General features: G+C 37.5%; 1 protein-coding gene across 12 annotated transcripts in view; it reads right to left on the bottom strand.

The window, feature by feature from the left end:
• Positions 1 to 21,630, bottom strand: part of ADGRV1 (adhesion G protein-coupled receptor V1) — a 605,641-nt gene that overhangs the window by 308,147 nt on the left and 275,864 nt on the right. For all 12 annotated transcript variants that reach the window (NR_003149.2, XM_017009963.3, XM_017009969.3 and 9 more), the window contains 5 exons: positions 15,306 to 15,713; positions 7,470 to 7,654; positions 2,758 to 3,007; positions 2,090 to 2,229; positions 390 to 550 (listed from right to left, as the gene is read on the bottom strand). Coding sequence is in view for 11 of the 12 variants with exons in the window: in XM_017009963.3 (XP_016865452.1) it covers positions 390 to 550; positions 2,090 to 2,229; positions 2,758 to 3,007; positions 7,470 to 7,654; positions 15,306 to 15,713 (1,144 nt within the window). In the remaining variant the exon portion in view is untranslated. The remainder of the gene's footprint in view (positions 1 to 389; positions 551 to 2,089; positions 2,230 to 2,757; positions 3,008 to 7,469; positions 7,655 to 15,305; positions 15,714 to 21,630) is intronic.

The raw sequence follows: 21,630 nt of genomic DNA, 5'->3' as shown, positions 1-21,630 counted from the left end.
TTGCATGTATTTTTTTGAAAATTCTTTGTATGTATTATTTAATATCTCACATAGTCCTCACATTGTAACTGCAGTACCTGCCCTCTAAACCATGGTACTGTAAACTATAGCCTTTCCTTACCTATTATCTAGCTTCTATCCTACACTGTATTACATATTCTTTATGGGGTGAAACTGTCTCATTCTTTACTGTATCCTCAGTACAGAGATGGCCCTCCATAAATATTTGTTGAATGAATTAATGACTAAGACAACGAAAAATTTGTATTCTTCTAGTGCTGATGAATTACGGTATGTTTGCATCTTGCATACGTAAAAGGATTATGGGAAAACAGACTTTCATTTTCATAAATATTTATAACCATTGATTCAAAAATACTGTCACTGACCTGAGATACATATAAATCCAGAAGTGAAGAAGGCTTCATTGTATGAAGACAAGTTGTCAGTCCGAGCATAGACAGCATACACAGACATGTGTGAACAGGCACATTCCACATAGTCTGCAGTTTCCTCAACCACTTTGCAAAACTGACTGTCAGACAACCAGCTAGGGCAAAAACACAATAGTCATTTTTCCTCTTTCATCAATACTGAAGGTGTTGAGATGGCTTTTAAAGAAAAATAGCTTACTGAAATTAAGTGTTCTTTGCTCAAGACTTAAGTAGACCACATTTTCAAGAAGAAACAGTGAAGGGAACATCTTGTCCAGGACATGACATGACAGATTCCACAGGATGTCTTAAGAAGCAGCCTAAATACCAACCAAAGCTTTGAAGGCATTCCTGGTACCAAAGGAGCTTGTCCTCTCAACAGGGCAGTACAAATTCCTACCTAATCTAGCAAACCTACCCGACATGCTCAATAGAAGGCACTCTTCTCTACCATTCAAAACTCACACAAGAACAACATGGCTGTGATATGTGTTTACTCTTCTTTGTTTTTTTTCTTCCACAAGTCCTTGTATTTTGAACCATATAAATTACTTGTATGGTTATCTAAGATTTCTTCCTCAATTTTTTTCTACTTTGGAGTGACTTATGTGTATGTTTTCTAAGGTTCTTAAAAGTGTTTCCTTTATGAATTCTGGCTAATTTAGCAGAAAAACCATGTCATAATTTTAGCAAACATTGTATCTGATGCCAAGCCTTCTGAGCCTTCCTCAGTGACTATCACTTGAGCCTCTTCCCTTAAAATGCCTCTTAATTTCTTTACTTTTTTAAGGACCTAAAACTTCCTTACCCAAACTCCAGATGCAGCTTGAAACATTCATTATTAATTATATATTGAAGATTTCAGAGTATTTCTATTTATTAGGTTTAAGATTTGTTTTAAACCTAGGAAGAAATTTCAAGTGGAATTTTTTTAAGAGAAAGAAAGCAGAAATTTCAGTGTTTTTGAGGAAAGTTGGTTACCAAACTAAGCTATTGTATTAAACCTATTTAGAATTTTAGTTTGTGTGGCTGAAATTCAGTAATAAACAAAATCAAGTGGCTGACAGGAACCCTAGACCCTTCTAGGCCAGCACTGCCTGATCCTGCAGCATTGACTGAGCTCCTAGTGACTGTAACTGCTCAGAAATTTGAGGCCTGAGGCCGAGGAGATTCAAAAAAAGAATCATTCTTTCCTTCCCATTTGTGTCCATGGATTTAATCTCAAAATGTACTTCAAGCCATGTGGACTAGAATTATAAATTCCTGCTGATTCTTCTTAAACACAAGGCATCAGTTTCCAGAACCACAAGCCCAGATGGAAAGGGTAAAAGAAGGAATTTCTTTCCTGCCCAATAAATTTACTAGTAACTTCAAGGTTATCAGAATTGAGCAGAATTCATGCCACATCCCGTGAAAGTAGTAAAAATGAAGAAGTAAATAATGTGTTACACACATATTGAAATGCTGGGCTGCATTTGCCATCAGAACAATACTAGACCATTTCCTATGCTGCTTCCTCTTATTTATTGTGGAGGTTATTTTCCAGTCTAATGTCATCTGGGGCCACCATCTATGCTCAGTACAAAACATTAGGCTCAGTGGTACCGAAATGGGGAAGGACCAAATTCTGATTTTTTTATTTTATTAATAAGTACCTTGCAGCAGCCTGATTCCAAAGGAGACACAGAGATGTCTGAGGAATAATTCTAGGCTCAGCAGCATAAATCCTGTAGAGAACCTCATTGTCATTAGTCAGGAGTTGTGAACTCTGACCTTTCACACTCAAAGATAATACCTAGAATGTTAAAAACAGAACATATAATGATGTTTTACAATTGGTGTAATGACTGAGTCTCTTACCCTGAACTTGACTTCATTTTTCTAGTAGCTACAGTCATTTGTTTTCTTTCACTGTTAGTATTTAGCTCACTTATGCATGCAGGACATCTGATTGGTTTTCCATTGTGCCCTTTCTACCCCGCCTTAGCCATTCAGCAGTCTTCAGCTGACAACACTCACTTTGACTCTAACTGGATGACTTCATTAAAAGTTAAGTACGTAATAGTATATTAGTTAAAGCTATATATTTTTTACTTTCCCCACATATATAATATGTATTTTACTCAAAACATGAAGGATATATTTCCAACTCATTTAGAAACTAAACTTTCTACAAATAGTTCATAAAGATGGAACACATTTCATAGTAGTTCACCATGTGTAGCACTTACCAAAACTGTGATCAAACAAATGCATTCCAAGTGTGCCTGCTAAAGAAATAAATCAGATTCCAACCACATAAGTGTTTTGAATGAAAGATTACCTTATTTTTTAGGGTAGGAAGATTGTTTCCACTTATAAACCACTGTTGGCTGCTATACTCTGTAAACTGGACTAATTTACATGTACTTTTCCCAGCCATTATTTCTGCATCCTGGACATCCAGTAGCCTCTCTGGAATTCGAATGTAATCTCCTTCCTTTCCTTCAAACTTGTGTCCATTGATTTGCTGAGGATACCAGTGAAGAGCCAATATTGACAAATATGGGCAACTATCAAGGATGGTTTTGCTTCTACAACAGAAAAGCAAAGGGTCTGTAAAAATGGCATGTATTTGAATACATATATCCACTTATATTTGTTAAAGTGCATTACACTTGGATTCTATTCTTCATGTATAACAATAACACAACAAACCCAGAAGCAGTAAATAGAATGTGCCTTCAGTTCTTTTGTGGATAATTGTCATGATTTTTTGCACAGAATTTTCTGCATCCTCTTGCTTGATCCTCCTAGTAACCTAAAACATGGGTTTTTGAAAACTGTTTTATGGATATCAAGATGAAATCTGTGGCCATAAAGATGAAATCTGTGGCTTTAAAAGTGTGCTTTTCTATGTTAGTCACATCAGCATTGCTGGAATAGGTTGAGAAAAGCATGTCCCCCCACTGAGCTAAAGCCCTTCACTTTATTTAAGAACATCATAAACCTTATATATCCAGGCCCATGTTTTCAACAAGAGTTTACCTCATGCCTTTCTAATCCACCAGAGCCTGCCTAATATAATCTTATTTGACTGATAAGAGAAACAGCACTGAACAGTGATCTTTTTTCACTTAACAAGTCTGTTTTGAAGATCTACTAGGCATAATAAGAGCCTGGGCTCAGTGAAATTGCTTCTAAACCTCAGTGTGCATTGAAATTACTTGGAAGTTTGCTTTAAAGTACAGATTTCTAGATTACATCACAGATTTACTAAATCAGAATCCCTACTGAAGGAGGGGATTAGGGGTTCTAGGAATTTATATTTGTAACCAGTCCCCCAGAGAATCAGATGCATCCTGTTGGCTGACCCATCATGTTTGCAAACAATCAGGAGACACACAGATAAATCAGATCTTAAACCTGCCTGGAAAAGTTGAGAGAATATTAGAATGTTGGGATAAGATTTATGCATTAAATGTTAAAAGTTATATATGTCACAATAGATGTAGAGTATGTACAACTACGTCGTAGATTTACATGATATCTTGTCAAGACCCCAGACGTAGGAAATGGAGCAGAGAATTTTAAACTGAGTCAGGAAAAGAAAGAGTAAGGGCCAACTTTTTCCTGTAGTGGTACATCCTCTCTACAAAAAATCTCCTCTGTAACCTCAGCTACCCTATTTGAATTGGTGCCTTCAAATACCTGAATTGAATCCACTTATTCACCTGGGGCTCTAGGTCCTTTGTCCATGTCTCCTATTGAAACACCTCAATTTGTGTGGACCTCACATACCTCCACCTCCACCATAGCTTGTCAAAATCTCATCTTTTAATCTGAAGTCACCACATCTTCAATGGTGACTCTCAGCCTAAAAGGTGTCACTGCAGACACCCTGACCAGATACAATGTGGAAGAGACCAGTGAACCTCAAACACATGACTCCACATCCCTTTTCCCCTCCCACCCTTTGTCATCTACTGAGACTCAGTCCAGTCAGGGACTCTGTTATCTTGTCAAACTAAGAACATCACCACATGCAGTGACTCTTCCTAAGCTTGATGCAAGCATAACAAATTCCTGACACCTTCTATTTGCTGATAACCATAATTTCCCTGATACCTTATCCTATGACACCTATGTCCCTCAAATGCATTCACCTTGATCAATCCCACAGTCTGCTTTATACCTAAGTTGATATGAGGGGGAAAACTCCCACATTGACATGTAGATTGGCACCACCGCAAATTCACAGTGACCAACCTCAGTTGGACCCTCAGTGCCACCTGGCATTATTTTTACTTGGCTTCCAAGTGATTGTTCTAGATTCCGTCATTCTCCTCAATATCCTTGCTCACTCCCCAAATGCTTAACTCTCAGCAGACTCCCTTAATATTGCTCAAGACAATGTATAAATAATGCATATCAGAATGTTCAGCATCTTTAGGGCTTCCTGAGTAAACAAACTAGTCTTGATCTCTCTCTTATTTTCTGTGTTCAATTTGTCATCTTCATATTAATTCTACCACCTAATTGTTTTCAAGGTACCACCCTCCCATGTCCCTGCCTTAATTTCAGTCCTCATTTTCTTTTACCTGAACAGTAATCCCCTATGTGGTTTTCCTATTTCTTTATTTGCCCTATTCTCTAACCTTTAACACTCTTCTCAACATAATGTCTCTAAAATCCAAAGTCAGATTCATTCTCTCTCTCTCTCTCTCTCTCTCTCTCTCTCTCACACACACACACACACACACACACACACACACCCTACCTAGCTTACTCCATGTTCAATCTTTAAAAAACTGATGAGCTCCCCAAACATACCATGCTAATTCTTGCCTGACTGCCATTGTACATGCTGTTTCCTCTTCCTGGACAACTCAAAAGGAAAGGTAAGTCTATTTAGTGGAAGCGTATGGCAGAAAACATGTTGATTCATTTACTCATTCTACTCCCTCATTTTATTGTAACCATTGAAAATCCACCACATACCAGACATTGTTCTAGGCCCAGTGAATACAGCATTCAACAAAACAAAACAGAAAAGGCCACTCTTTCTGTGCATCTTATAAGCTCTTGAGTTTTCACTGGGCCCTTGAAGGCATAGATATGGGACTCAACATGCACAGCAAGGTAGATGGTTCACATCTAAGACAACCTTGTGATTTTAACATGCTGGTGATCTTATAGAGATATAGGGAAAATGGAAAAGAAGAATGAGATTGTGGGGATTGCAAAGCTATGAACTGCTTGATTTCATTGAACAAAATAGTTGAACATAGTTCAACAGGGGAAAACAATAACAGGTATTCTTGACTACACACACACACAAATGCATACTGTGGCCTCACTTAGTGCAAACTTACTTGAAGCAAATAAATGATCCATTTCAGAGGTTTCTGAAGACAGCATTAGAGACATTTATAAGAGGCACTAAGGAGCTGAACTGTTAATCATTGGTCTCAGATGGACATTTAGGAGCAGTGGTGAGGATTGGAGAATCCTTTCAAAAGCCCCATGTGAGGCTTTTCTGATTTTGCACATTAAGAAAAAACCTCAATTTCCAGGACTCACTCATCAAAATTAAAGGAAAAGTAGAGTATAGGGATATGTTGATTCTGTACCTTTACCTCAAGTCACACCCTAGCACTGATCTGGGATGAAAGTATAGGGCACTTCAGAGCCATGGGCTGGAGGGGGCAGATTTTGCTATGAAGTAGGTGGTTACAATCTATTCTGACCACAGGTGTCCAGCAGGGGCTGTAGACTCAAGTAAGTCTGGGGTTGAGTCCAGGCCTCTCCATGAACTAATTGTGTGACCCTTGGCAAGCTGTGTAAGATTTCTAGCCTTAGTGTCTACATCTGTAAATAGGGGTATTAAAAGCCCTCACTCAAATCCTGAATAGCTACTTAAAATGATCTCTGTAAGGACAAAACAATATGTACAACTTTTAGCAAGGATTAGGTTGAACCACATGGAAATTTCATTATACTGTTTTTACCTATTAACAAAGGCAATCGATATTGTTCAATTTAAATCAATGTCAGGACTATAGCAGAGGTATAATTAATATCATTTGTATCATTATTATTTTATTCCTTGTTCTTATAACTTTTTTCTATCTGGATTGACTATCTCTTTGAACTTCGTATGTCTTGTGACCTAGGAACTAACATTGGGCTGGGCACAGTGGCTCACGCTTGTAATCCCAGCATTTTGGGAAGCCAAGACAGGTGGATCGCTTGAGCCCAGGAGTTCAAGACCAGCCTGAGCAACATGGTGAAATTCTATCTCTACAAAAAATACAAAAATAAGCCAGGTGTGGTGGTGCACGCCTCTGGTCCCAGCTATTAGGGAGGTTGAGGTGAGAGAATCACCCAAGCCTAGGAGGCGGAGGTTGAAGTGAGCCGAGACCCCGCCATTGCACTCCAGCCTGGGCGACAAGAGCGAAACTCCATCTAAAAAAATATATATATAGTTAATATAGAGGTAATTAGTATAGTACCTATAGCATAGAGGTATGTTAACATATAGTTATAAAATTAATTATGTAGTTAATAATGAACATGAGCCACATTTTATTTTTTCCTTTTCCTCTTGCTAGCTTTCCGACAACTAGTCTGAAGTTCAACAACAGTCTGAGAGTTGTCTCCAAATGGACAGAACAATCACAGTTGTTTGTGATTGGGGAAAGCACAATTAATAACACATCAAAACACTCCTAAAGGCTGTAATCTCTCTTTTTTTTTCTATTCAGAATGTATCTTTCACTCATTAAATAAATAAGAGTAAACAGTAAGGCTTTTGTTATTTTCAAAAAACACTTCAAAATAAGTGGAATATATTGTTGACAGTATACATTTATTTTTTTGATGTACCTGCTATGTTTCCTTCAAATAATTAACTTCAACTTTCCAAGTGGTACAATGCATTGACTGTATCATTCTTAGTTACATCATCTAAATGTCATTTTGCATTACATATTGCTTTGTAAACAGTGAAAAAAATGCATAAAAGGTACTGCTAATATATTAAAAGATACTTACTTTTCACCAGGAGAGCCGCAAGTAACATTAGTCAGCAGAGAAAAGGCAAAATTCTCAGTCACTTCAGCAAAGTGACTGAATCCCCTAGTGTCCTTGCGCTTTGGGTTAATAAGAGAACAAAGAATCTCATAGAAAAGAGTTCGGCTGGCAACACTGAAAGCTTGAATTTTTCCTTCAGTAGTTATCTGGAAAAAGAATCTAAGTATAAAAATATATCTATAAAAATAAATTTCTTAAATTATATGCTATACATATATGTGTGTGTGTTCCTTATTAATAGTTATTAACATTAGTAAGGATAAACCTATGAAAACTTAAGAGAAATTGGTATCAAAATTATATTTCAAATATATATATTTGCAGTTGAAAAGGCATAAGTAATCATCTATAAAGAAAAGGCATAATCACCAAAATATTTTCTACTTAATCATTAGATAAAGTCCTAAATGCCTGCACAGATTATTTAATTTTAACTACAATAATTAACATCATGAGTTAAAATTAGTCTCACTTTTACATCTACCCTAGGGATTCTTATTCTTTTGACCAACAAATAAGGAAATAAATACCTCAAGAATATTTGTTTATAATAGTGGCAAAATTATTTTTTTCCAGTAAACAGAAGCTACCATAATCACTAAATATTTAAAGCACCAAATGAGAAAATCCTTTTCAAGATTAGTCAAGAGCTTTTGCCTTTTTCAGTAAGTATGACCCTTCCTACTAAAAAAAAACTGGGTTATTTGTTTTTTTGAGAGACAGGGGAAAAAAGGAGGAAAAATCCAAAATGACGGGGGACTGAGAGGTGACAGCGTGCTGGCAGCCCTCACAGCCCTCGCTCACTCTCGGTGCCTCCTCGGCCTTGGTGCCCACTCTGGCCGCGCTTGAGGAGCCCTTCAGCCCACCGCTGCACTGTGGGAGCCCCTTTCTGGGCTGGCCGAGGCGGGAACCGGCTCCCTCAGCTTGCAGGGAGGTGTGGAGGGAGAGGCGGGAACCAGGGCGGGAACCAGGGCCAGCGCGAGTTCCGGGTGGGCGTGGGCTCAGTGGGCCCCGCATTCAGCGGCCAGCCAGCCCTGCCAGCCCCGGGCAGTGAGGGGCTTAGCACCTTGGCCAGCAGCTGCCGTGCTCGACTTCTTGCCGGGCCTTAGCTGCCTCCCTGCGGGGCAGGGCTCGGGACCTGCAGCCCACCATGCCTGAGCCTCCCCCCACCACCGTGGGCTCCTGAGCAGCCCAAGCCTCCCTGACAAGCACCTCCCCCTGCTCCAGGGCACCCAGTCCCATCAACCGCCCAAGGGCTGAGGAGTGTGGGCACACAGCGCAGGACTGGCAGGCAGCTCCACCTGCAGCCCTGGTGCGGGATCCACTGGGTGAAGCCAGCTGGGCTCCTGAGTCTGGTGGGGACTTGGAGAATATGTCTAGCTAAGGGATTGTAAATACACCAATCGGCACTCTGTATCTAGCTCAAGGTTTATAAACACACCAATCAGCACCCTGTGTCTAGCTCAGGGTTTGTGAATGCACCAATAGGCACTCTGTATCTAGTTAATCTGGTGGGGACTTGGAGATCTTTATGTCTAGCTAAGGGATTGTAAATACACCAATCAGCACTCTGTATCTAGCTCAAGGTTTGTAAACACACCAATCAGCACCCTGTGTCTAGCTCAGGGTTTGTGAATGCACCAATTGGCACTCTGTATCTAGTTAATCTGGTGGGGGCTTGGAGAACCTTTATGTCTAGCTAAGGGATTGTGAAGGCATGAATCAGCACTCTGTATCTAGCTCAAGGTTTGTAAGTGCACCAATCAGCACTCTGTGTCTAGCTCAGGGTTTGTAAATACACCAATTGACACTCTGTATCTAGCTAATCTAGTGGGGACATGGAGAACTTTTGTGTCTAGCTCAGGGATTATAAATGCACCAGTCAGCACCCTGTCAAAATGGACCAATCAGCGCTCTGTAAAACAGACCAATCGGCTCTCTGTAAAACGGACCAATCAGCAGGATGTGGGTGGGGCCAGATAAGAGAATAAAAGCAGGCTGCCTGAGCCAGCAGTGGCAACCTGCTCGGGTCCCCTTGCACACTATGGAAGCTTTATTCTTCCGCTCTTTGCAATAAATCTTGCTACTGCTCACTCTTTGGGTCCACACTGCCTTTACGAGCTGTAACACTCACTGCGAAGGTCTGCAGCTTCACTCCTGAGCCCGCAAGACCACAAACTCACCAGAAGGAAGAAACTCTGAACACATCCGAACCTCAGAAGGAACAAACTCCAGACACGCCGCCTTTAAGAACTGTAACACTCACTGCGAGGGTCCACGGCTTCATTCTTGAAGTCAGTGAGACCAAGAACCCACCAATTCCGGACACAGGACCACATCTTTATCGTTTAAGCATTGGTGTGAAGCCACTTACTCCATTACCTTCTGATAAGTCCCTATTACTTCCTCAAACTCTAAAAGTCATCACTTTCTCTATGATTCTTACACTATGCCCCATCTACCAACCTACATTATCACTCTCTTTGTAACTTGCATGTAACTTTATCAGTGAACTTATGACAACCTTGAAATGATTTATCTGTTTCAAGCTCTATGATTCTTACACTATGCCCCATCTACCAACCTACATTATCACTCTCTTTGTAACTTACATGTAACTTTATCAGTGAACTTATGACAACCTTGAAATGATTTATCTGTTTCAAGCTCATCGTGAAAGTGGATCATGTTCCTCATTTTTTTATGACTTTGTAATCTAGTACAGTTCCAAGCTCATGGTAGAGCTCAAGATTGGCATTTATAAGAATAGTCATCTCCCACATAGTAAGGCAGAGTGGAGAATAACCCACAGGGAAATGTAAAAGACACAGAATAAAAATTTAGCAATGCAAAAATTACAAATGGAGACAGAGCACAACCACTGGATACTGAAACAAGCAAACTGAATATGATAAATGGAAACAAGCTCAAGAAAATCTCCCAGAACTCAGAGAAAAGATAACAGGCTAGTAGGACAAATCTTGACAAATCCCTAAGATATAATTCTATATATAAAAGAGCAGGCAGAGGCAAAAAATAACACAGCTCCTTAAAATGCTGAAGAATATTCATGTCTAAAAATGTAGAGATTGCTTTTATACTAGGGAAAATTAGAAAAAGAGACAACACCAGATATATTTGGGTGATTTTAAAAAATATTATTTCAAGAGTAAAAAAAAAATCATACCAGAAACCAGACAGGAAAAAAATTACCAACAGAAAAACAAAAATTTAGTTTAACTTCCGACTTTTCTAAAAATGAAATGTCAGAAGCCAGCCAAGCAATATGTTCAGAATTGTAAGAATTAAAGGCTGTGATCCAGGCATTCTATGGCTACCCACACTTTCATTCATATTAAAAAAAAACAAAGTTTCTTTTAGTAAAGCACACAAAACTGAAACAAAAAGGCCATTTCTATAATACTCAGTTAGTACAGGGACCTTGTAGTTTTCAGCACTTTCTAGCAACTACTCTTCACAACAACCTGTGAGGAAGGTCCTATTGTCTTTGTTTCCAGTTAGGGAAACTAAGGCAGAAGGAGGATGACTAACTTGTTCTTTTTGTTTGCGCACAATTGTGTTCGCACACAGTTGGTGACCACGAAGCCTAGGAGGTGCTCCTGACAGCCGCCCTACACTGCCTGGCAACACTCCCCACTTGCTTGTGCCAAAGCAACCACCTGGACTGACTCAGTTCACAGACAAGTCAGTCAAAATTACCTCGAGCATGAAATACAAAACCAGCCAGTAAAATACAGAGTTAACTCAAAATCCTTGTTAGTATGATTACAAAATAAATCAAGTGTAAAAACTAATTCTTGAAATATAAGGTATCTGTTATTAAAAAGTATATGATGAAAAGAAACAGGCTGGCTCCACAAGGCCAGTTTACACAAACAACAAAAGAACTCCCAACATTATTAAAATTGCCTTACGAACAAGTAGAAGACCTGAATCAACCATGGAAAAAACTTAAGAAGTTGTCAGGATAGAAGACAAAGACGGAGGCCTTTGGAGGTAGGGGATAGTCTATCAAACTTTTACAGAACTAATTATTCCTGTGCTCTTTCAAGTGTTTCAGAACAAAAAATTAGAGTCAACACCTCCTGATGGGCTTTGCCAAGCTTTGATAACGACAAAATCAAAACCTGACGAAATTGAAAGTTAGCATATCAGATTCAGGGGGGTTTTAGACTGCTCTTGCTATTAAGACGACTAAGAGCTTTTAAAATATTTTTTATTTCACTATGCCTGGGAAAATCAGGGGATAGAATATTCTGTCATAGCAAAAATTTGCCTGAACCCACAGCTGGATTTCATACAGAAAGTCTTTATAGTGAGGCATTTAAAGCTGATGCTCTTTTTTAGTATAATACTTGTGCCACTTCTAGCATGTGTAATAATATTACTTAAGATTTATTGAGATCTTTTAAAAGAAATACATTGTATATAATAGATTTTGTTTCAAAGAACTTAGAATGTGGGGGAAAATAAAATTTAAAAATGTAAAACAATTTCACTTAAAATATAATATCTTACAGAATGAAGTACCTTCCAGTACTTGGAAGTTCTATTCTGTCCTTTTTAATATGAGGTTATTTTAGAGTGTATATAATTTCATATGGCATATATAAATGGTTTGCCAGGTAAAGTACAAATGACCTTATTTGAATTTTAGACAGGCAACAATAACTTTTTGGTATAAATATGTCCCAAATAAGTATCTGCAATATGCTTATACTAAAAAATGTATTTGTGGTTTATCTGAAATTCAAACTTAACTGAGCATTCCTTCTTTTTATTTGGTAAATTTTGCCACCTTATCTTTATGTGATAATCCAAATTTTCAGTTCTTGTTTTATTATTCTCATTATTATTGCTATGCTTAAAATATAAAATATGTATTTCTTGCACTTTTAAATACATTTCATGCATTCATTTAGTCAGGCCCCTCATAATGGCTATCGTTTTTCCCAGTTTTTATCGTTATAAGAAGTAATGCTGAAATAAACATTCTCATCACACGTGTATTTGCAAAAATGTTCCCCACACTCATTAGTTGTGTTTTCACTTTGCTTTGGTGTATGCTAAGAGAAATTTTATTTAAACTGTATGTGGTCAAGTTATCAGTCATTTCCTTTGTGGCTTCTGGGTTTTGTCTGAGGCTTTGGAAAGATCTTCCCCATTCTAAACTAAAACGATGAAATGACTGATCCACGTTTTCTGCTACTTTCATGGTTTCAGTTTTTCACTGAAATATTTGATCTGTCTAGAATTTATTGGGGGTAGAATTTAGGATAAGGTTCAGCTCTATTTTGCTTTCAAATGGTTACATCAGCCATCCAACACTATTTGCTGAATAATATTTTCGACCCATTGATTTTTAAATAGCACTTTATCACATATAAAATTTTCATCTATGCTTCAGTTTTTGAACTTTTTGTTCTATTCCATTGATGTGAATGTTTATGTCTGCACCGGTGCCCCTTTAATCACAGTAACACCATATTTCAAATATGTTTTCATATCTGCTAGGGCAAGGTCCCTCTCCTTTTTTCTTCTTTTTCAGGAAAGTTCTGCCCATTTTCACATGTTTACATTTCCAGGTAAACTTTAGTATCATTTTATCAATGTAAAAATAACCCCAAAACAACCTAATGATATATTGATAGGAATTACGATTCATTTATAGGTTAATTTACAGAAAACTGTTGTGTCCATATATTGAATCTTCTTATTGCAGAACAAGGTATGAATTTCCATTTACTGAAGTCTATGTTAGTAGAATTTTTGTTTTCTTTATATATTTTCTGTATGTACATATGTAATATATATTTCTATAATTATTAAATAAGTCAGTTAAATCAACAGATTTCAGTATTGATGTACATATAAAAAAGGAATTTGAGAGTACATTATATCATACTATTTTTAAAAAAGTAGTGACAATAACTTGATTTGAAAATAACCAGAGCAAAGAAGGCTTTGGCTGAAATAAAATACTAGTCATTTTCTTTTAAGAATTCAAATGATGTTTTCTACTTGATTTTACAATTTTTTTTTTTGAGATGGAGTCTTGCTCTGTTGCCCAGGCTGGAGAGCAGTGGCACCATCTCGGCTCACTGCAACCTCCACCTCCTGGGTTCAAGCGATTCTCCTGCCTCAGCCTCCCAAATAGCTGGGACTACAGGCATGTGCCACCATGCCCGGCTAATTTTTGTATTTTTAGTAGAGACAGGGTTTCACATGTTGGCCACGGTGGTCTTGAACTCCTGACCTCAAGTGATCTGCCTGCCTCCGCCTCCCAATCCCGCCTCCGCTGGGATTACAGGCAATATTTTACAATATTACAATATTTTTATAACATTTAAAATATATTTTATCCCTCCAAGTATTCCCAGGTTATTTATTTAAGTATCTTCATATATGAGAAAATTGTACTGTTTGCTAATGGTTACTCAAAAAAAGTTAATTACATTTTCCCATAGGAGCTACTTTTATAATTCCATTGTATTATTCACGATAGTACTAGTAACAGTCAAGATGTACTATCTGACAACTCTACTGAAATAAGTGTTGATTCTTAACCAATAATAACTTGGTTAACATACATAACTTATTGAGAACAAAAAGTAGCAGAATTTCCATATATTTTCCCTAAATCATATGAAGTGAGGTCCTGTTTCCTTCCCTAAAATGTAATTACTGGACATTCTTTCTCTTTCCCTGGCCAAAAACAACTTGGCATTGTCCTACGCCATTGGGCCATTAGAAAATTCAAGTAATAATATTTTGTGGAGTGAGTTTTTACTGCAGAATTTTCTCTGCATGAAATAGCAATCGCTTCCCTTTGCTTTATAAGATGTTTGCCATGGCCTGCTCTTTTTACCTCTGTACTTTATAATTTTCTTTTCTATCTTTCAAGCATTGTATTTTAAGAGATACCACTGGATGGAAAGTATGCACGACTATCTAAAACCCCATTGTTAACATCTAAAGTATTTTAAGGTCATTATGTAAGAGATGTAGTAATTATACATTCATGGGTATGTACTCAAAACATTCAGTTCTTGTATATAAATATATTGATAGGAAATATCTTGATAAGAAAGCCCAAAGTAAACCTCCAAAGGAGGCTTTTTTTTTAAGTAATAACTTTATAGATATCTTTCAAAATTTATATTCTTAGGCTCTCACATCTCCATTTAATTCCATCATTTGCAGAGTTGTAAGTAAATAGGTTTAAAATAAAATCTGTTTTGTACAAGTATATACCAAATGGAATGTCTGAAATTATCTAGTCATTTCTTAATTTTTCTTTTCTGTGAAAGTTTTCAGTGCCCGTGAGGACTAAAGAACAAGCAGAGGGTGATAATTTCTATTCCATGGCATTTAAACTGGAAGGACTATGTAGATAATCTAGCTCAAGTCCTTTTTCTTAATGGACTAAAAAAACTGAGGCTCAAACTACAAAGTTAATTGGCCAGTTTCTGGAGAGTCGCCAACTGCCTATAGCTCCCAACCTCTGGAGCCTTTTTTTTCATGCACTAGGCTGTCTTTACTACTGCACTAGGTCATTCTCCAAGCCTAAGACTGAGATTTCCAAAGAGGCATCAGTCATATCCAAGGAAGAGGACAGTGTCAGATATGATGCATTCTATTCCTATGTTCAGAAATCTAAATTTATCATAATTTCATAATAACCAATGTTAAAAGAGAATGTGATTTTGGTTTTACTTGGGTTTTTAAATTTACAAAATTTCACTAAACAAATTACTAATATTCACAAAAACTTACCTTTTCTATTAAATGCATCATGGCACTGAGTTGTTCATCTGTGTTTTCTGTGGCCACTTTCATGCTGATGGTATGGAGCACTCTGTTGAGAATATCATCATTCACAGGCTGATGTAGCTGATCTGCAAGCCCCCAAATGGCCTGCGAATCTGCATCTGAGACAAGAGTGATGTTGGCAGTCCCATACACTTTATCAATTCTGGCACCACCTTTTGGGTCAAAAAGGACAATCTGGAAGCGTTTAGGAAATGAATTTAAAGATCCTGTCTCTGGCGTTAGGATGACATCCAATACAGTGCTTCTCTGGCCAGGTTCAAAGACCAATGTGCCTTCAGTTATCACAAAATCCTTTCCAGAAATAGCTGGAGATATGATGGTACGACCAATTGTTTCAGCACTCCTCAACTCCTAGAAATTAAACAACACCATTTAAGTGAATCTATGACACCTCTGATCTTGTCCTAAACAAATTCTTGTTTCTTAAACAAATTCAATTTCTCTTAAACAAACTGAAGGGCAATGATGATGACAGTACTACCTAAAGATGGGGTTTTATACTTTTCATAATCTGCTAAGATAAATTAGAGAGATAAATACATAACATACAGTGATGAGATTAGGAAAGAGATGCCTTCAAATGGACCAAGGAAGCAAATTAGACCAGAAATGTCACTCTTGCCTCCATTTCTCCAATTGTGATTGAAAATCGTGCTTCAAATAACACATGTGGTAAAATATAAGTATGCAGGAAAAGGAGGAATATTTATATTTTCACTGTCACATAGAAATTTTGGGGGGCAGGCTGGGGAGAGTAGAGAGAAGGCAGAGGGGAGGAAAGCAGAAGTAGAAGAAATTGGTTTCATGTTTACACTCAAATATGGAAATATCCTAAGGAGTAGGGTCCTGGACATATATACCTCTGCTCTTCTTCAAATTATGGTTATTGAAAAGTTTTCTTGGAAAAAGTGTTTTGGAACGTGAAGCATGAACACTTTAGTCAAGGAAGAATCAAAGGAATGTGCATTTATTTACTACTGAGCCAAGAACTATTAAACTCCTAGTACAAGCCAAGTGACATACAATGGATATAGATTTGAACAGCAGAATACCTGCACTCATAGAACCTACTATTCTAGCAGAGGATACAGGTTGTACAAGGGTTGTGGAATTAATGATAGATTTTTACCTGAAGACAAGTTCTATGAAGAAAAATAAAAGTAGGTAAGGGAATGCACGGTGATGGAAAGGGTAGCATTTTATATAAAACTGGACATAGAAGCTCTTGTGATATTTGAACAGAGACTGCAAGGAAATAAATGAATAGGCTACATAAGGATCTTGGGAAATATTCTAGGCAGAAAGAATAATTACAAAGGCACTGGAGATGGGAACCATCTTAGTCTGTTCAAGGAAGAACCTAAGGCCAATGTGACTAGAAGGAGAGTGCTGGATGCTGCTGTAAGAGAGGTGGAGGCTGGGTGTGGTGACTCACACCTGTAAACCCAGCACTTTGGGAGGCTGAGGTGGGTGGATCACAAGGTCAGGAGATCAAGACCATCCTGGCTAACACGGTGAAACCCCATCTCTACTAAAAATACAAAAAATTAGCCGGGCATGGTGGCAAGCACCTGTAATTCCAACTACTGGGGACGCTGCGGCAGGAGAATCGCTTGAATCCGGGAGGCAGACGTTGCAGTGAGCTGAGATTATGCCACTGCACTCCAGCCTGGGCAATAGAGTGAGACTCCATCTCAAAACAAAAAACAAAACAAAAAACAAAAACAAAAAACAGAGAGGTAGATAGGAGTCAGATCATGTAGGCATGTAGGTTCATTATTCAAAATGTGGCAGGAAGACCCTAGAGGATTCAAGCAAGAGAATGACACATTTTATTTATCATTATTCATGAGTGTTCTGGCTATTGTGTATATTAGGATATAGTAGGGAATGAGCATGGAGGTTTTTGCATTCGTTCATGCAAGAAACAGTGGTAGAATAAATAGGGTCACATGAATAGAAATACTCAGACTAGAAATACACATGAGTAGAAGCACTCAGACTAGAAATATATTTAAATGTAGAGTCAATAGGACTTTTTTGTTTGTTTCATTTTGGGTTTTTTTTCGAGATGAGGGTCTCGCTATATCAACAAGGCTGGTATCCAACTCCTGGGCTTAAGAGATTCTCCTAAGTATCTGGGACTACAGGCTTGCACCACTACGCTCAGCTTAGAGTCAATAGAACTTTCTGATGAATTTGATATTGGGTGGAAGGAAGAGGAGAAGTGAAGGTAACTCCTAGCTGCTTGCCTAGATGAATGGGTAAATGGATAATGAATGGTGGAAAACTGGGGAAAATATTGTTAAGGGACAAATCAAGAGTTATCTGTTATACATAGTAAGTCTGAGATGCCTCTTAGACATTCAAGTGACGACATCACGTAAGAGCAATCAGATACATGGGTCTGGATCAGGAGAGGTGATGAGGTTAGTGATAAAAATGTGGAAGTCCTCAGTGTACAGATGATATTTAATAAACAGTTCTATATAGTCTAGCCTGGAGATTGATTCTTGGTGGATCCCAACATTTACTGGCTAGGAAGACCAACATAGCCAACAGGAAGGAGCTCCAAGTGAGGTAAGGATTAAGAGCAGGAAGGTGTGTTATTACAAAAGCCCAAAGAAGAGCATTCTTCAGGAAGGAGGAAGTGATTGATTGTGTCAAAAAATGAAAAAAAAAATCAATGAATGCTTTTTAAGAGCATCTGCAGTGTAACGATAAAATAAAAAGCCTTACTGAAGGAAATAACTCAAAAATCTAATGGCTTTAGAATGGATACATTAAAATATTCCCTGAAATACTATATAACAGTTAAAATGAAAGGATTTCAAGTACACACATCAGCATGGATAGTTCACAGACATATGATTGAACAAAACAGGGACCATAGAACAATACAATTGGATTAATTTCATTTGCACAATTTCCAAAACAGGTAAACCCAAATAATATATAAGAATAGAACTACTTAAAAAGAATATGAATAATTTAACATAAAATTCAAGATATAAATTATCTGCAAGGTGGGGATAGTCAAGGAAAAAGCAAGATGGCATCAGAGGGGTTCATAATGGAAAGTTTTATACTAAAATTCAGATAAAGTTAAATTTCTGAAACAAGGTGGTAGTGATTTGATTACTAAAAACTGTATGTATACATTTGGCCCACTGTTTTTTCGCAGGATTTATTTCATAGTTCAAATATTTAAAGGAAATGAAACAATCAAAATGTTCTTGTGTTTATAAAATACATATAATAAACACAAAGAAGAATTATGCAATTTAAAAGTGACAATGGGGAGGCCAAGGCAGGTGGATCACTTGAGGTCAGGAGCTCAAGACCAGCCTGGCCAACATGGTGAAATGTCACCTCTATAAAAATACAAAAACTAGCCGGTCATGATGGTGGGTGCCTGTAATCGCAGTTACTCGAGAGACTGAGCCGGGAGAATAGCTTGAACCCAGGAGGCAGAGGTTGCAGTGAGCCAAGATCGCACCATTGCACTCCAGCCAGGGCGACAGGGCAAGACTCCATCTCAAAAAAAAAAAGAAAAAAAAAAAGAAAATCAATATAGAAATAGTCTTTGAATGGAATAGGCAACGTGAAAATAAGGAAAACACATGGTCTTTCTTGAACTTGTGTGCTTTCAGCTAGCACACATATATAAAAGAAAGTATTTGGAATCAGTTTCAAATTTGTTTTTAGCTATAGGTCTATTTAACTGAAAGATAACTAGAATAATAGATGTCTTTATTGTCTCAAATAGGAAGGACCAGAAATTCCTTCTTAACTTTATATCACAAACTTAGATATAAGCCACAGATGCTAAGGCTACAGTACTTACGTACATGGGAATGCTGGTCTACCAAAGGGTATCTATGTTACAATGACTGTTTTAATTGCATTAATCTATTTAAAGTAAAATGAAAATCAATATCATAACAGAATAACAACTTGATCCATAATTATTTTCTCATTCATGCCAGCTACTGGAAAAGAGAATTGTATGTCTCTGTCTTCTAGTAATATGCCTAGCACTTAGAGAACAACACAAGGGCAATTAAGCAACAGGAAAATAAAATAATACCAGAGAGGTGAAACTGTCATTTCCAATTGTTTAAACTTTTATTCTGACATAATTGCAGATTTACATGCAGTTATAAGAAATAATAAAGGAGATTTCCTACACCCTTTACCCAAACTCCTTCATTAGTAACATTTTGCATGACTGTAATATAATATTACAACCAGGATTTTGTTATTGATACAGTCAAGAGACAGAACATTTTCATCCCCATAAGAATTCTGCATGTTAACTTCTACAGCTACACTCGTGTCACCCCAGCCCATTCCCTCCTTAATCTCTGGCAACCACCAATTTCTTTTCCATTCCTATAATTTTGTAATTTCAATAATATTATAGAAATGGAATCATACAGTACATAATCTTTTGGTATCAGCTTTTTTTTTTACTTAGTATGATTATATGGAGATTAGGTTGTTATGTGTATCAATAGTATGTTTCTTATTATTAGTGAGGAGTGTTCCATACATGGATATACCACAGTTTAACTATTCACCCATTGAAGGACACCTGAATTGTTTCTACTTTGGGGCTATTATTAATAAGCTACTATAAATGTTCATGTGCAAGTTTTTGTGTGAACATAAGTTTTCATTTATCAGGAATAAATGTCCAGGACTGCAACTCCTGAGTCATAAGGTAGTTCATGTTTAATTCTTGAAGAAACTTCTAAACTGTTTTCCAGAGTGGCTTACCATTTTGCATCCCATCAGCAATGAATAAGTGATCCAGTCTCTGTGAATTCTCACCAGCATTTGGTATTGTCATGGATTTTATTTTAGCCATTCTGGTAGGCATCTAGTGATATCCCACTGTGGTTTCATTTTGCTAATAGCTAATGGTGTTGAACATCATTTTATATGCTTATTCTTCATCTGTACATCCTTTCTGGTGAAATCTACTTTTGTTTATTGTGTTCTTTCTTCCTTCCTGATGTTCCAAAGTTCTTTCCTTTTTATCATTCCCTTTCTGTTTAAAGATCTTTCTTTAGCCATTCTTTCAGGGTAGGTCTGTGTGCAACAAATTCTTAGTTTTTCCTTCATCTGGGAATATCTTAATTTCCTCTTCACTTGTGAAAGATATGTTCACTGGATATAGAATTTAGGGCTGGAGGGTCTTTTCTTTTGGCACTTGAAAAATAGCGTGCCATTTCCACCTGGGACCCATGGTTTTCCATGAGAAATCTCCTGTCATTCCGATTGCTTTTGCCCTAAAGATAAGGTACTTTTCTTTCTCAGTTCTTTCAATATTTTTCTTGCCTTTATTTTTATTAGTTAGACTATGATATATGTTATGCAGTGGTCACCATGGGCCTTGGGTGAGACCCCCAGTGCTGTGCTAGCTTCAGGTCTGATCTAGCACAATCCCAGTGGCAGTGACCACAAGAGTCCTTGAATCAACCCTCTGGCAGCTCCAGGAAGTTCAGCACAGACACAGAGGATCCTTTTGTTTAGGAGAAAGTAAGGGAAGAAAACAAGAGTCTCTGCCTGATAATCCAGGGAATTTTCCCAGATCTTATCCAAGACCACCAATGCAGTACTTCTAGGAGTCTGCAAGAGCAACAGCATTACTGGGCTTGGGATGCCCCCTAATGCAGATATGGCTGCAATAACCAAAAATTTAGATCACAGCACCCAAGCCTCTTCAAATATCTGGAAAAACTTCCCAAGAAGGATGGGTAAAAATAAGCCCAGATTGTGAAGACTACAATAAATACCTAAGTCTTCAATGTCCAGATATTGACAAATATCCGCAAGCATCAAGACCATCCAGGAAAACATGACATCGCAAAACAATTGAAGAAGACACAAAATGCAGATATTTCATGTTCACGGATTGGAAGAATAAGAAAGAAAGAAGGAAAGAAAGGAAGTAAGGAAGGAAGGAAGGAGAAAGAAAAAGAAAGAAAGAAAGAAAGAAGGAAAGAGAAAGAAAAAGAAAGAGAAAGAAAGAAAAAAGAAAGAAAGAGAAAGAAAGAAAATAGGCAGAGGAAACAAAAGAAAAAAGAATAAAAATGAAACATGCATACAAGATCTATAAATATCATCCAAAGGCCAACTCCAAGAGGTATTGGCCTTAAAGGGGATGTAAAGAGAGAGATAGAAGGAGAAAGTTTATTCAAAGGGTTAATAATGAGAACTTCCCAAACGTAGAGAAAGATATCAGTATTCAAGTACAAGA

This window comes from Homo sapiens, chromosome 5 (genome assembly GCF_000001405.40).
Source record: "Homo sapiens chromosome 5, GRCh38.p14 Primary Assembly".
Taxonomy (NCBI): domain Eukaryota; kingdom Metazoa; phylum Chordata; class Mammalia; order Primates; family Hominidae; genus Homo; species Homo sapiens.
Note: the sequence above shows the minus strand (reverse complement) of the source record. Positions and strands in the feature narration are given on the sequence as shown.